The 17,858-nt window shown below is 37.1% G+C and overlaps 1 protein-coding gene across 3 annotated transcripts in view; it reads left to right on the forward strand.

Annotated features, from left to right (window-relative positions):
- LIN28B (lin-28 RNA binding posttranscriptional regulator B) overlaps positions 1-12,542 on the forward strand; it is a 146,307-nt gene extending 133,765 nt beyond the window's left edge. For all 3 annotated transcript variants that reach the window (XM_006715477.3, NM_001410939.1, NM_001004317.4), the window contains one exon: positions 7,624-12,542. In XM_006715477.3, the coding sequence (XP_006715540.2) occupies positions 7,624-7,993 (370 nt within the window). In that variant the 3' untranslated portion in view covers positions 7,994-12,542. The remainder of the gene's footprint in view (positions 1-7,623) is intronic.

Here is a 17,858-nt window from a genome sequence, read left to right on the forward strand (position 1 = left end):
TGCCCTTTCACCGTACTATTTTCCCTGGATGTAACCACTCTTTATTTGTCAATTCACTGTCTTCCCTCCCAGTGGTTTTTACATTCATTCATTCATTCATTCATTTGACGGAGTCTTGCTCTGTCACCCAGGCTGGAATGCAGTGGTGCAATCTCAGCTCACTGCAACCTCTGCCTCCTGGGTTCAAGCAATTCTCCTGCCTCAGCCTCCTGAGTAGCTAAAATTATAGGCACGCACTACCATGCCTGGCTAAGTTTTGTGTTTTTAGTAGAGACGGAGTTTCACTGTGTTGGCCTGGCTGGTCTCAAACTCCTCCTGACCTTGTGATCCGGCCACCTAGACCTTCCAAAGTGCTGAGATTACAGGCATGAGCCACTGCACCCGGCCGGTTTTTACATGCATTTGAAAATGCACACAATTACTTATAATCATGTCTAATGTCTTTGAAACATAAATTCGATCATACCGTATTTATGTATTATGCCGTGGTTTGCTTTTTTTACTTAACAATTTGTCTTGGAGATCTTTGCATGTCAATACATATAAATTTACCTCAATTTTTAAAAAATTATTTCATTATTCTACTATCTGCAAAATGTTTTTTGGTATATGTGGCTTTAATTTATTTTTCATTTTAACAAGTTTATAGCTTAACAATAACAATTAGTTATTGTTAGCATTATTATTATAATTTAATTTTTCTAACTTTTTACCAGTATGGACAATGCTGTTGTTAATATCTTAGTACCTGAATCATTGTGTTTATCAGTGAATATTCCTGTAGAGCAAATTCCTAGAGTGAGAGTTACTAGGTCAGAGAGTATGTGTATTAATATTTTCCAATATGCTGTCAAATTGTCCTCCAAGAGAGGCAGTCTCAATTTACATTCACTCCAACCAATATAATCTGATTGCAATATTTCAGAGCCTAAATAAATCATTCATACTGCAGTGTGATTTAATGGGCTAACTAAAATTTCCATCTTCTCTCTTTTGACTGGAATTTTATTGAGTGAGTTTGATAGCACTGATTATATAGCATATCAGCTTAAAATTCCAATTTATAATCTTAAACATATGATTAAAGAGAATAGAAAAAGTATTCACAAATTTTTAGACCAAGTTTTTCAACATGTAAAGTATAGGAGAGATGAAAAGAAAATTCAGCCTTGGCAGTGTAAAGAATCTGGATTGGACTACTCCCAGTCTTTTGTTTTATAGATGGGATGCTCAAAGAAACACGCTGACCTCCCCAGTAACAAAGTCTCAGGAAAAGTCTACTTCAATTCTTTTGTGTCTGTGTGTGTGTGTGTGTGTGTATTAGTGTTTTAAATTCAAGATCCTAGATATTTTAGACTTACATATAATAAAATTACATCAATATTGTTGGGTATAACATTTTTATGTAATCAAAATGGAAGTGAAATTTAATTGCTTTCAATTAAAATTCCTTTCTAGATAATCTCTAAATTTCTTCATCAATACAATTTAGATATTGTAGTTCCCAATTCATAGGCTTTGGGGGTGGATTAAATTATATAACACATTAAAAACCTTTAGCACAGTGTCTAGAATTTAGTAAGCTCTCAGTGAATTGAACCTGTTTATTATTTCTGTTATTACCATTTTAATTCTCTTAAAAGTAAAAGTATGTTTAGTCCTTCTGTATATAGAATATTTTGTTTTTAGCATGATTAAGGTAACAGAGGGGCATGATGCTGGCTTCTATATTCCAGAAGATCCAAATGAAAACTTTTCTGGTGTTAAATGTGTATTTATTATCTAGGAAACTTTTTAAAAGAACATAAATCATCAGTATCACCAACTAACTATTTTTGAAAACTCAGTGTTTTTACCACTGTACTTAGAATATATAAAAATTTAAGTATGGAAAACATACTTAAATAAAAATTAACTTTACTAAAATTGTTATTGTTTAACTGGCTTACAATCTTATGAATTTGGTTATGAGAAGAATGAAATAAAAGAAACTAATTCATTAAAGTATAGGTTGATAGAGGTCAGAAGACATGTACACTATTAAAGAGACTTACTAGTTCTGTGACTCATCAAAGTTTCCTAACTCCTCTCTTGGTATTTTGGGGCTAGTCCTGTGGAGTGAGTAAACAATACCCAAATGTTTATTTAGATTGTGTAGAATCAGTCAGAACAAAATGGGGCCTTCTTTAGGAAGGTTGGTTCCAGGATCTGCCCCTCTTACCTTCAGGAGGTGTACAGGGTAGGCAGATTGCTTCCATCAATATGCTCTGGATCCTTTGCTTGTCAGCTCTCTGTGGTTCTCTAATAACCTTTCTGCCCACCCACCTCCCCACCACCAGCTGGCTGTGATCCAGCACTTCCATGTGTTCAGTTGATTGGCACACAATTTTAATTAAATAACAAGTATTAAAACATACTAGAATAAAAAATAATAGAGCTGAGGAATGTTATTAGTATCATTTCTGGATTTTAGTTGGACTGTACCAAGGTTTAAAATGATCTCTTCAAAGAATCAGTTATTTTTCCTTCAGTTTAGTTCCTGTAATTTTTTTCAATCTGTGACTTTTCTTTAGCCCCTCTGCCTCCCATTTGGAAACTTTATTAATCCTTTTTTTAGTCCGTTTTTCCCAGGAATTTTTATGAAATTCCTTTTCTGTATTCGTACCTTCTTCCTGCCCAAAGCTTGCACTTCTTTCTCTACTCTTTTCTCTGTCCCTGATACTGCTTTACGTACTATCTTTCAACAATTCCTTCCCCTTCAGAAGCTTACAGATCACTGTCAAAATTATCCTTAATGCCCCCATCAGACCCTCAGAATGTGGATTTGAGTTTACATATAAATTCTTATTAACTTAAAATGTTCAAGTACTGTGAAGAATCCTAAGATACATTTTTTTCCATTATACTTTTAGACAAGCAAATCTGGATCTTCCTCTGTGGTATCGCCCCTCTTCCCAATTTTTTTCATCACTCTCAGGATCGAGAGGGAATATATAACTGATGAATATTTTCATTTACACCATTGGAATATTATTTAAAAATTAATGTCTATATTTTAACCTAGTGGTTGTCCGCTGTGCTCAGCTCCATTATTGCTGATATCATTTGAAAATATAATCTGCTTATTCAGTTGTTTGGATCAAAAAATGCAAACATTTTTAATGGTCATAGCAGATCTAAATTCTGATTTCTGAATTAGTTTTCATTTTTTGATGAAATCCTCAGAAATTTGGGTATGTTTTGATTAACTTATTAACTAGTGTAGGTGTTTGGACTTGATTTTTAAAAACTCATGTAATTACTTCAGAATATAATTAAATAGTTCTAAAGGTCTAAACAATTTGTTTTTATTTATTTAACCATCATAAGTGCCTCTATTCTATCCATTGTTGCCATTCTTTCATTTAAAATCTTTTCTTTTTTTTGAGACAGAGTCTCGCTCTGTCGCCCAGGCTGGAGTGCAGTGGTGCAATCTCAGCTCACTGCAAACTCCGCCTCCTGGGTTCACGCCATTCTCCTGCCTCAGCCTCCCAAGTAGCTGGGACTACAGGCCCCCGCCACCATGCCCGGCTAATTTTTTGTTATTTTTAGCAGAGACAGGGTTTCACCATGTTAGCCAAGATGGTCTCGATCTCCTGACCTCGTGATCTGCCCACCTCGGCCTCCCAAAGTGCTGGGATTACAGGCGTGAGCCACCGCGTCAGGCCTTAAAATCTGAAATTATAAATCTTATTTTGATAGTGTCTCAAAAATGTTGACTTTGATTTGATTGTTAATTATCTTCTATCTTTAAACGCTCCTTAAATAAGAAATAATACTTGTAGAATATGCTAGCTCATTAGAATTACAGTATTTATAAAATGATTTTATGAAGAACTTGATAACCGTCTAAGATTAAACTGAACATTTTTGTTTATTTTATCTTTGTTTGTTAAAACAGAGTCTAGCCCTGTTGCCCAGGCTGGAATGCAGTGAATCAATCTTGGCTCACTGCAGCCTCTGCCTCCCTGGATCAAGCAATTCTCCTGCCCCAGCCTCCTGAGTAGCTGGAACTACAGGTGTGCCCCGCCACACCTGGCTAATTTTTTGTATTTTTAGTAGAGACAGGGTTTTGCCATGTTGGCCAGGCTGGTCTCAAACTCCTGACCTCAAGTGATCTGTCCGCCTCAGCCTCCCAGAAGTGCTGGGATTACAGGCATGAGCCACTGCACTTGGCCTATTTTATCTTATTTGTAATGCATGAGAAAATATCCTTTGTGCCATTGGTTCAGCATTTAATAAAGTACTTAGCATGAATAATTTTATTTTTTATGTTGGACTATGGGAATATATAATAAAGTATGAGTATAGTTTTCTTTGTATGGTCTTTTGTGTGAGACTATGTCCTTATATTTCTTAAGCATATAGCTAAAAATGGACACACATGATATTTTTATGCTCACATCACAATGTAAAATTCATTCCAACTACAAAGGCAAACTGATGTGGAACAGTGTGGAGGGTGAACAAAGGGGACTAAAATCATGTATAGCTTGTATGGAGTATATAGTTGTGGTATAATTTGTGAGCTGCAAGGTAGCTGAACATTTCTATTTTGGTGTCAGTCCCTTGGGAAGGAAGGGGTTTCATAATGGAGAGTGATCTGTACTCTTAGTAAGAGTGATTGACACTGAATGATTAAATAGAAGAGAATATAAATACCACTCCTCCCCCTTTTAAGGCTAAGCACATAGACACTAAATGCAAATCTTTTCAATGTGGAAGAAAGTCTGGCCTAATGATAGCACATATCAGGAAAGCCAAGGGGGTGAATTAACTATGCAGATCAAAATGTAAGGAAACCAAAATTATATAGCATCCTTAAAAATAACTTTTATAGCCCAAATCTAATGGTAAATGCACAGATAGAGGGTAATTGAAGATCCCATTTGTGAAAGTAGAATACTGACATCAGGCTCCTGGTCAATGAGTGGGCAAAATGGTTCCCTGAATTGGATAACACAGTGCATACCACGGTGACTGATAAAATTGATGTGTCTGCAGGAGAGCCAGCCCTATTACTGAAGCCTTTAACCTATTTTCTGTCTCTTTGAAAATGAGCTCCTGAGTGGAAGTTATCCTCAAGGAAGTGAATTTAATTCAAAAGAAGATATTTTATAGATGGGCAACTTTAATTTAAGAATTCACTTATCTATTGTAGAGGAGAACTGTGTGGGAAAATATATTATTATAAGTAATGTGGTTATATTTTTCAAATATGTCATTTTTTAGTGTTATTTTGAGAACCTGAATTTTAAGCATTAGCAAGTAAACTTTATTATTTAATCTTACACTCTCTTAGAACATATGGCTGAAACAATATTGAATCTGCACTGTAATACTTTATTAAGATATGTAATTATACAATGAATAATTTAACTACAACATGTGATTTCTTGTTTTTTTTTCTCTTTTTGAAAATATGATTCAGTCTGTCCTAAGATAAATACTTGTTAATCATTGCAAAGAATAAAAGCCCATCTTATAAATTCATTATTCTAAAGTATATAAGGTAATATTGCTAACTGGAGAAGCAGGCAATAGTTACCCTAATTTTTGCCAATTAAAAAATTCACTGTTCAATTTATGCCAGGAGATAAAATACTAAATATCCTATATACACTGCTTAGTAGGTTGTTAGTACCTTAGTAGTTTGTCTATGAAATATAAGGTAGAATAAATTATTAAGTTTGATGTTCTCACACACATACAAATATGTCATCATAATTCACTTCTTGTTGTGAGTCTGGACTTAAGCCAATTTTCTCAGTTAACACTTTTTTTGTTGTTGTTGTTGGAGATGGAGTCTCACTCTGTCGCCAGGCTGGAGTGCAGTGGCGCAATCTCGGCTTACTGCAACCTCCGCCTCCCAGGTTCAAGCAGTTCTGCCTCAGCCTCCCGAGTAGCTTGGGACTACAAGCGCGCGCCATCATGCCCAGCTAATTTTTGTATTTTTAGTAGAGGCAGAGTTTCACCATGTTGGCCAGAATGGTCTGGATCTCCTGACCTCATAATCCGCCTGTCTCGGTCTCCCAAAGTGCTGGGATTACAAGCGTGAGCCACCGCCACCCAGCTAGTTAAAACATTTTGTTATTATTTTTTAAAAACATTATAACCTGGCTGGGTGCAGTGGCTCACGTCTGTAATCCCAGCACTTTGGGAGGAAGGGGCAGGCGGATCACTTGAGGTCAGGAGTTCAAGACCAGCCTGGCCAACATGGTGAAACCCTGTCTCTACCAAAAATACAAAAATTAGCCGGGCATGGTGGCACATGCCTGTAATCCTAGCTACTCCCGAGGCTGAGGCAGGAGAATCGCCCAAATCCGGGAGGCAGAGGTTGCAGTGAACCGAGATCACTGCACTCTGGCCTGGGCAACAGAGAGAGATTCCATCTCAAAAAATATATATATATAACCTGTTGTTCTTTGTGCTTCATAAATGAGATTTATGGAGTCATAAATGTATTTGGAAAATAAAATAGAAAGCTCTTAAAATATTTCATTTGGAGACAAGTCATTAAACAAATTCTGTATTTAAAATCAGATTTAACACCTTTGGTAAATATAAATTTTTCTTAGTTTCTTCCACTAATGGTTTTTTTGTTACTTTTAATATAAAATTTTAGAAGAAAATCTGATTGAACAAATATACCTCTGAAAAAATTTTCTTGCTTAGCTTTCCTTGCCAAGCTAAAAGCTGAACTTTCAAACATCTAATACAAAGCCATGTCCCCAGTGTGCATTCACATATTATGGACGGATTTCCATTTATTTTAACTTAAAAGAGATCACCCTAAAAGAAAGCTAATTTCTTACAAAAAAGAAAAGAAAGTTAACTTTTCTCATCATTGAACTAGCATGAACCTTTATTAATTCAATCTAAGTATTTAGAAGCTTTCTTTTTTTAGCACTGTTCTGATTCAGACATTTACTCTATTGCTCTAAAATTACTTGGTAATTTGCCAGATATCATCCTGACTTTCTGACTAGACTCTGACTTTCTTATATATCAAATTTCACTGCATTACTTAATTTTATACAAAGGAAAAAAATTTTTCCAGTTTAGCTGGTTTCTACAGTCAAAATAATTAACATTCAAAGAAGTGTTAAACTTTTAAATTTGGTCTAAAATTTTGCCAGTTTCTGAGTGAATTGCCACTTTGTATCATGCCAACAGCTGTATTTCTACACTCTTGTTTTTAAAACTGGCTTGTTGTTTTTTGTTGAATATTCGCTGCCCTCTAGTGGGCTTAATGGTTCTTTTAAAATGACCAGATAGTGTCAAATTTAAAGGAATCCTTTCTATATGGAAGTGATTAAATATTCTTACATGTTTTAATACTCTTGTTTTTCACTGTGTTTAGTTGTGTCTCACACAACTAAGTTTTTAACCTCACCAGAACATTTTGGTGATGATAGTCTTTGAACCAACAGTGTAACCAGTATAAACAATGATAAATGCTTTTAAGAAGGCACATTAAAATAAGCTTATCTCATTGGTAGTTTGTGTGTTTTCACATTTTAAAATGTGTTTTTGGATACATGCTGCCTACTTCTAAGATGTTTTCATCTTTTTTCCTTGTAGATGCTACAACTGTGGTGGCCTTGATCATCATGCTAAGGAATGTAGTCTACCTCCTCAGCCAAAGAAGTGCCATTACTGTCAGAGCATCATGCACATGGTGGCAAACTGCCCACATAAAAATGTTGCACAGCCACCCGCGAGTTCTCAGGGAAGACAGGAAGCAGAATCCCAGCCATGCACTTCAACTCTCCCTCGAGAAGTGGGAGGCGGGCATGGCTGTACATCACCACCGTTTCCTCAGGAGGCTAGGGCAGAGATCTCAGAACGGTCAGGCAGGTCACCTCAAGAAGCTTCCTCCACGAAGTCATCTATAGCACCAGAAGAGCAAAGCAAAAAGGGGCCTTCAGTTCAAAAAAGGAAAAAGACATAACAGGTCTTCTTCATATGTTCTTTCCTTTACCCGGTTGCAAAGTCTACCTCATGCAAGTATAGGGGAACAGTATTTCACAAGCAGTAGCTGACCTGGGATTTTAACTACTATTGGGGAACTGTGAATTTTTTAAACAGACAAATCACTCTAAGCAAATTACATTTGAGCAGGGTGTCATGTTTTATGTTAATTCAGAGAATAAGATACTATGTCTGTCAATATGTGCATGTGTGAGAGGGAGAGAGCCTGAGTCTGTGTGTGTACATGAGGATTTTTATATAGGAATGTAGACACATATATAAAGAGGCTTTGTCTTTATATATTTGTGTATAGATCAAAGCACACACCCTCTCTCATATAATTGGATATTTCCAAGAATTGAAAACCCATGTGAAGCATTATAGATAGTTTTAAATTTAACCCACTGGAGTTTTCTTGAAATACCACTTCTTTTATATTATATAAAACTAAAAACACGACTGTTACCTTTTGTGTGAACCAAAGGATACTTCAGATCTCAGAGCTGCCAATTATGGGGTACTAAAGGTTTTTAAGACATCCAGTTCTCCCGAATTTGGGATTGCCTCTTTTTCTTGAAATCTCTGGAGTAGTAATTTTTTTCCCCCTTTTTTGAAGGCAGTACCTTAACTTCATATGCCTCTGACTGCCATAAGCTTTTTTGATTCTGGGATAACATAACTCCAGAAAAGACAATGAATGTGTAATTTGGGCCGATATTTCACTGTTTTAAATTCTGTGTTTAATTGTAAAATTAGATGCCTATTAAGAGAAATGAAGGGGAGGATCATCTTAGTGGCTTGTTTTCAGTAGTATTTTAATATCAGCTTCTTGTAACCTTTTCCATGTTGTGAGGGTTGTAAGGGATTGTGTGGCAACAGCAGCTTCCCTTGGCTAACTCAATCTTCTACCCATTGCTTAGAGCAGGGAGCCCTCCTTATTTACTACTGAAGACCTTAGAGAACTCCAATTGTTTGGCATATATTTTTGGTGGTGGTTTTTATTCCTCCTGGAGAGTTATCTAATTTGTTTCTAAAACAAACAAGCAGCAAAGAAATGAATTAAATACTGGGGTTGAGAATTAAAATTAAGTGGATGTTCACAGTTGCCCAATATATATGACCTGCAAATGATACGAAAAAGTGCAGCATTTAGTGGCAGTTAACAAGAGTGACAAGCCTGGGGCAGAGGTACCAAACCTCTCCCACCAGAGAGCTAGAAGTATTTTATACAGTAACTTTGATCTTATGGAAGTGACCTTCAATGCTTATTCTGAAGTAACCTATATGGTGGATACAGGATGAACATTCAGTGCCAGGGAGAATCTTCTCAGGTTGGTTCTCGTTAGAGTGATAAACTGGCTAGGGGCCATAGTATTGGTCCTGTTAGGTTTCGGTCATGGAAAAAAAAATTATTTTGGGGTCATCCTGGCTCTAGATGTTATGGGCAAATTTCTGAAACATCTGCAAGAAGGTACCAGTTAATTATAGTGCTTAATATTGGGAATAAGATTAAGCATTATAATTATAATGTATGGGCCTGTTGGTGTAAGCTCAGATAATTAAATAAAAATAGCATGACTCAAATGAGACATATTCTGCTGAACAGTTTCTACTTCCTCTCCCGCCTGTCCTGTCATGGGAGACGTGTATAGTTGCTGCTGTTTCAGCAAACCACCATAAGACGAAAATGCCTCAGGTTGGGTTGCCAGTCCTTTACAACTCAGCTTGAATTTCACAACAGTGATTGTGAGAATCTGCGTGGTATACACTGAAATATCGGTGTGCTGTGATGCAAAGCTTACCTTTGACGATATTGAATGTGATATAGCTGTAGAGAAGTACTTCCTTGCCTTATGTGAGGATTTCAAACTTATTTAAATTATGTAGACAAATCAAAGTGGCATTGCTTAATTTTTAGCAGGCATAATAAGCAAGTTAACAGTAAAATGCAAAACATGATAAGCGTTGCTCAATTTTTAGCAGGTATAATAAGCAGGTTAACAGTAAAAATGCAAAACATGATAGATAAGTCACTTTGAAAATTCAAACCAAAGTTCCTTCACCTTATGGAAATAGGAAATTATGGACTTCAAAATTGGACACTTCCTGTTTACAAAAAGAAATTCAGAGCTAAAATCATGGTAAAAAAAAATAGAAACACTTGAGAACTATGGTCTTTATGGGTGCAATTTGAAATCCTTTTCATCATCTTACCAGACTAAACTAAGAGCACATACCAAACCTATCTTATGGTTGAAAGTTGGGGTTTATTTTTTATATGAGAATATTATCACTATTACATAACATACTCAGGACAAAGAACTTTGCTCAGGGAACATACCATGTAATATTTTTGTTGTTTCTTTACAGACTAGTCTACAGTCCTGCTTACTCAAAACAAACCAAATAACTTATACCTTTATATAAGTATTATGTACTGATGATAGTAACTACCTCTGAGTTTGACACAGATCAAAATTTTTGAATATCAGATATCAGTTATCCTATTTTTATTTCATGTGAAAACTCCTCTAAAGCAGATTCCCTCAACTCTGTGCATATGTGAATATCACTGATGTGAACACATTGTTCATTTACATAGGTAAAATATTACTCTGTTTACAGCAAAAGGCTACCTCATAGTTGATACATAGCACACCTGTATGTATGCTGTTCCAGCCTTACAGGTGGCTGATAATTCTCTGGTACAGAACCTTTTTATCTGTATTATAAATAGCAATTCACAACTGCATGTTTCTGACAAACACTTGTGAATAATGAAGCATCTCGTTTTAGTTAGCAAAGTCTCCAAACATTTCCTTAAAATAATCATGTATTTAGTTTAAAGAATTATGGGCACTGTTCAACTTAAGCAAAACAGAACACGGAAGCAGTCTTAGAAGCACCACTTTGCCCAGAGGTGGAGGTTGGAAGGGGTAGCAGGGAGAGGGGTTGGTGTATGCAGGTATTCATGCTAGGCAAAGAGTTTAAAAGACGCCAATGTCCTTCATTTACTGTCTGTGCTGCCCTGAAGCCAAGCGTATTGCAGCATTATAGCCCCAGGCACATAACTAACTAGCACTGGCTTGCCAAGGAATGAACATGCAATGCCATTACTAGCTATTGAGGGAAAAGGGTCTGTGTGAAGCATCACTTTGCAGGGATTACTAATGGTGGGGCAGCAGGTCTGTGAATTAAGTTATCTCTTGACCTCACCCTCATGTCAACACAAATGTAATTCCTAAACAAGATGCATTGCCAGTCTCTTAGCCCTGTAAGCTGATCTTTTGCTACATGGCAGACTATAATGAAAACATTTTTATACTTGGGTTTCTAGTCTTCACTAGAAGGCCTTGGATGTATTTTTGCAGTTGAAAGATTTAGAAAGATTTTTACCTGCTTATAACTTGGAAGTTTAGAGTGCAATGTAAGAAAAAAGATCAAGAAATGTCATGTTATTAGCATCAGTCCACCTCCAATATTGCCGATACTTTTTTTATTCTGGCTCAGTTTTATTTTGCACCAGTGCGGCCCCAAGTTACTGCTGGTTGTATTTAGTTTGTGAATAGGAGCCCATAAGTGTTAATAGACTTTGTAACATTCACTATAAGATGAATTATACAGGACATGGGAAATCTCATTAAGTCTTAAAGTTAATTTAAATTAATTTATCTGTTTTCTCTAAGAAATGTTTATCATAAAATATATATGTGTATTTCCCCTTTGGTTATAAAATTTGGGAAAGTATGTACAAGTGCAGCTGCACTGACTTTAATTTTCTAGATGTCTTAATGAGATTTATTTGTTTTAGAGAAGAACATCTTGTTAAAAGCATCAAACTCTGTCTTACATAGCTGTCAACAGCCTCTTTAAGATGTGGTGGTTGTATGATCTGTGTCTTAATTGTTCAGTTAGAGTGAGAAGTTGACCTATGATTCATTTTTAAATTTTATATTTGGAACAAAGCTGCAAGTTATGGTAAAGTACTGTACTGTGAGAAGTATTATGATATTTAATGCATCTGTGGCTTAACACTTGTGAGAGTTACCAGCTTGAAAATGATGGTGTTGACTACCTCTTGAATCACATCTATCAACCACTGGCACCTACCACCAAGCTGGCTTCAATTAGTATGTGTTGCTTTTTGGTATTAACAACTAACCGTACTAGAGACCAAAGTGAACCCTGATTTTTATATGTCTTTAATAATGGTGTTTTATCTAGTGTTTTTAAATTATCCTGTGTAGTATTTAGATTACCTCATTGTCCATTTTGACTCATGTTGTTTACAAGTGAAAATAAAAACACTTGAACTGTATGTTTTTAAAAGACAAAAAAGGGGTAGATGTTTGGAATGCGTTTCACTCGCATGCAGTCATCTGGAGGGACTGAAGCACTGTTTGCCTTTCTGTACACTCTGGGTTTTATATTCTCATTTCATGCCTAATGTCTTATTCTGTCAATTATGGATATGTTGAGGTTTAAAAAAATTACTTGATTAAAAATAAAACATATAACGTTGGCATTTATGATGGGTTTTGGAGATTTTTTATGATGTGTGTTCTTACTAAGTTAAGTGAAAGGATAAAAGGCCATTTAGGCAGTGTTTTACATCAGTTGGAGCATAAGTTAAGTGGTATTAACATATCCTCAGTGGTGAGTATTAACATGGAACTTACTCCAACAATACAGATGCTGAATAAATGTAGTCTAAGTGAAGGAAGAAGGAAAGGTGGGAGCTGCCATCACTCAGAATTGTCCAGCAGGGATTGTGCAAGCTTGTGAATAAAGACACATACTTCATGTAGTCAGAAGAGTGGTCTGAAGCAAAATATTCAAAGCCTATTGAAGAAATCATTTTAGAATTTTTCTACAAGTTTTTTCTAATAAAGAATTTGAAAAGGGCAAATTTTATCAGTACCAAATATCTAAAATACGAATGTAGATTTATCAAACCATGAATGCAGTATTGATGTACTGTAACAAACGATTTGGTAAAACTATTGAGTTCTTTAAATTGGCCAGTTCCACAATCAAACTTATTTTCCTCTCTTCACCTGGATGATTTATTTTTTTGATGATCTGTTATGACTTTTATTTTATTTTAAATTCTGGTAAAATCACATAACATAAAATTTACTATCTTAACCATTTTTTTTTAAAGATGAGGTCTCATTCTGTTGCCCAGGCTGGAGTGCAGTGGTGCAATCGTAGCTTACTGTGGGCTCAAATTCCTGGACTTGAGCGATCCTCCCACCTCAGCCACTTGAGTAGCTGGACTACAGATGTGCACCATGCCCAGCTAATTTTTTTTTTTTTTTTTTGTAGAGATGGAGTCCTGCTTTGCTGCCCAGGCTGGTCTTGAACTCCTGGCTTCAAGCAGTCCTCCCTCCTTAGCCTCCCAAAGGGCTGGCATTACAAGTGTAAGCCACCATGTCTAGCCTTAACCATTTTTGATTATTAAGTATATTCACATTCTTGTACAACCATGTGTGATTCACTTTTCTTTGAAGGGCTTTTTGTACTTTACAGAATATGGAAAACCTTTAAACCTTAAAAGAAAAATACACATAATCCCATCATCTGAAAGTAACCAATAACAGCTTTTATTAATTTATATTTAGTATATGGAATTTTTTTTTCTTTTTGTGAGACAGGGTCTTGCTTTGTCACCCAAGCTGGAGTGCAGCGGCTCAACCATGGCTCACTGCAGCCTCAACCTCCCCAGGCTCAAGTGATTCTCCCAGCTCAGCCTCCCAAGTAGCTGGGACTATAGGCCTACACCACCATGCCTGGCTACGTTTTTGCATTTTTTGTAGAGGTGGTAAAATCACAAAACAAAAATTTACTATCTTGTGGCCTAGGCTGGTCTTGAACTCCTGGGCTCAATTGATCCTTCTGCCTTGGCCTCCCAAAGTGCTGGAATTACAAGTATGAACCACCCCGCCCGGCCAATTTTTGAATTTTTTGTAGAGACAGAGTTTCACTATGTTAGCCAGGCTGGTCTTTAACTCCTGGCTTCAAGGATCCCACCTCAGCCTCCCAAAGTGTTGAGAATGCAGGTGCAAGCTACCACACCTGGCTGAAAATCTTAAAAAAAGAAAAAATTATACATAATCCCATCGCCTAGAAATAACCATTAGCATTTTTTTATTAATTTTCTTCTGGTTACACACACACACACACACACACACACACACACACACACACACAGAGATACATACACATGCGGGTGATTTTTTTTTTTTTTTTTTTGAGATGTAGTCTCACTCTGTTGCCAGGCTGGAGTGCAGCAGTGGGGCAATCTGCTCACTGCAACCTCCACCTCCCTGGTTCAGGCAATTCTCCAGCTGGAACTGTAGGCATGTGCCGCTGCATCCGGCTGATTTTGTATTTTTAGTAGAGACGGTTTCACCATGTTAGCCAGGCTGGTCTTGAACTCCTGACTTCAGACGATCCACCTGCCTTGGCCTCCCAAAGTGCTGGGATTACAGATGTGAACCACCACGCCTGGCCAGTGTTTATACATAGAATAATTTGATCATTAAATAGTCCAATATGCTTATGTAATTAATGCTGCTTTTTTTTTTTTTTCCAAATAAAGAATAGCTGTAAGTCACATTTAGGATAACAGGACGACCCAGCCAGAATCCCAGGCTGTCCTTCTCTGTACACAGAGTACTATGTTTCCTACCCCTGTCTGTGTCTATAAGCCTTTTGTAAGGACCTTTGTATGAAGCTTTTGCTTGCTAGGCTACTAAATCAAAGCAGTGCTGTGTGATAGCCACCATTTTGTGATCGATTCTGCTCCTGATTGCCTGTTATTTTTGTAAAACATTCCTCAAAAACTCTGTGGGGTTTCTTGTTTGCTTTGCTTTCTAGAAATAATTGAAAATTCTTAAAACTTTCACAGTTGCTCAAATGTAATTTCTGTCATCCTCAATTTAGAAACCAGTATGTTGCCCTTTCTAATCCTCTCTCTCTCTCTCTCTCTCTCTCTCTCTCACACACACACACACACACACACACACACACACACACACACACACACACTTTCTGAATTAATTTGGACTGCCTGGAAAATGGTAAATGTTTCTGTGGCTGCATAGCAGGCATGTTTCTTAACACAATATAGGATAGTTTATTGTATTTATAGTGTATTTTGTTTCTAAAATTACTCAAAATTTCTTGAAGATGTGGGCTATTTCTGAAGGTCAAGGGTCTCCATTTCTACTTAATTTCTGAGCTCCTCAGCATCTGTAGCTATATCCGCCTGCTCCAGTTTGTAAAAGTTCTTTAAAACACAAACTCCAACCTTGGAGGTTTTGCTTACACCCCAAATCACATGGTTGGTTTTCTTTTGTCAAGAAGAAAGAAGAGGCTGGACCCACACCTATTAACGTAAGGACAATGCCCAAAGTCAAAGTCCAGGGAAAGACTGTTTCACACTTGAGAATCAAACCACATTTCTGTTTGACTTGGTGCAAATAGACATATTGTTGACCTGTCCTTTCATACTGCTTTTCTACCTTCTAGAAGTGTGGCCTCTCCCTCACTGCCAGTATGTCAGATATTTCAAGTGTTATTTATCACTTTCTTTCTTTCTTTCTTTTTTTTTTTTTTTTTTTTTTTGACGCAGTCTCGCTCTGTTACCCAGGCTGGAGTGCAGTGGTGTGATCTCGGCTCACTGCAACCTCTGCCTCCCGGGTTCAAGTGATTCTTGTGCCTCAGCCTCCTGAGTAGCTGGGATTTTAGGTGCGCGCCACCACACCCAGCTAATGTTTTGTATTTTTAGTAGAGACAGCGTTTTGCCATGTTACCCAGGCTGGTCTTGAACTCCTGGGCTCAGGCAGTCCACCCACCTCAGCCTCCCAAAGTGCTAGGATTAGAGATGTGAGCCACTGCGCGTGGTCATTTATCACTCTTTCATTGAGATCATCGGGCCACATATTGAGCCCTTATAGTTATCAATCTCCACACTGGCTCTTCAAGTTCTCTCATTTCTTCATGAAATTAATTCTCCACAACTTTCATTAACTAGTTCAGATAGTAGTTTTTCTAGTCCCCTGTTAAACTGCTTCTGCCCAAAAGCAATCAAACAGACCCAAAAAATCCACTTAAAACTATATTAATAAAAACCTAATTACAATCATAATTTCCTCACAGTAAAAATCTTGGAAAATGCAGAGGAGGGGCTGCCGTGTGAGAAGCTCCTGCTGTGGTGTTCTGACGATGTGCCCGGTCCACGCTCTACTTCCTTAGGTGGGCTTTTGTTTGTTGAGGCTGCACAGCATTAATGGGGAAACTTATTGCCGGGGAAAATGTAACATAAAACCAAACAGTGGGAAGGGACTCTGGACTGGCATCTGGTTCAATAGTCTGTCTCCATCTAGGATCATACCTGACCATCCTAGATGGTTATTCCCAAAATCTGCTGGAGGAGAGTCCACGAGTTCCTTTAGAATGGAATCAGTAAACAACAACAACAAAAATAAGTAATAAAAGACTGTGGGTCAATGTCAGATTATACAAGAGATCCCATTTAGATGGATACTCAATTTTCCATGATGTGATTATTACGCATTGCATGCCTGTACCAAAATATCTCATGTACCCTGTAAATATATACGCCTACTATGTACCCACAAAAACTAAAACATAATTTAAAAAGAGATCCCATTTAAAGGGACCATATTGACAACCTGCAGTGTTTCTTTTTAGTAAGACATTATTTCTTAATGGAACACTGTCCTTACTAAAATTATCTTCAAGGCTTATGTAAAAGATGTCCTAAATAACACAATCTAAAAAGTATGTCATAATGTACTCCACTGTGCAGTGGGCCTTTAGAAGTGTAAAAATTCCTTATGGTTAAGGTGAAAGTCCGACTTTTAAGAATGTAGAAGAACTGGAATTCAGTAATTCTGAATAAAGATTGAACATGATACAGTTCAGTTGTTGCTTGACACCACCAGAGGGCACTCTTCACTTGCTCTCTGAAACAGATTTTCTTTTACATCCCCTCATAGCTATAATACTCTTTTGAGTACCTGAATATCCACATGATTGATAAACTTACCTAGGAAAATTTCTGACTGAAAAAATGTGTAATTATAAGTAATGCCTTTTGAGCTCTTATGCAGAAGACAGGGGCTGTCAACACAGAGCTCACAATACTGAAGAGATAATCAGGTATTTGTAACTTGTCTAGAAAAAAGTATTTCTAAAAGTCTTCTTGTAATAAGAAACCACAGGACTGTAAACATTCAATTACATTAAATAATCATACTGCATTATTACCCCATATGTTTCTCCCCCACCTTTCAAGCTATAAGAAATATAAAACTTCTCCCAAGCATGGTGGCTCACACCTCTAATCCCAGTGTTTTGGAGGCCAACCCAGAGGGATCTCTTGAGGCCAGGAGTTCAAGACCAGCCTGATTAACATAGTGAGACCCTGTGATGTGGTTTGGCTGTTTCCCCACCCAAATCTCATCTTGAATTGTAGCTCTTACAATTCCCAGGTGTTGTGAGAGGGACCCCGTGGGAGATAACTGAATCATGGGGTTGGGTCTTTCCCATGCTGTTCTCATGATAGTGAATAATTCTCACGAAATCTGATCATTTCATAAAGGGGAGTTTCCATGCACGAGCTCCCTTCTCTTGTCTGCCACCATGGGAGACATGCCTTTCATCTTCCACCATGATTGTGAGGCCTCCCCAACCATGTGGAACTGTGAATCCACTAAACCTCTTTCTTGTGTAAAATTGTCCAGTCTCAGGTATGTCTTTATCAACAGCATGAAAACGGACGAATACAGCCTGATTCTACAAAACCTTAGCTG

This window comes from Homo sapiens, chromosome 6, assembly GCF_000001405.40.
Source record: "Homo sapiens chromosome 6, GRCh38.p14 Primary Assembly".
Lineage (NCBI taxonomy): Eukaryota > Metazoa > Chordata > Mammalia > Primates > Hominidae > Homo > Homo sapiens.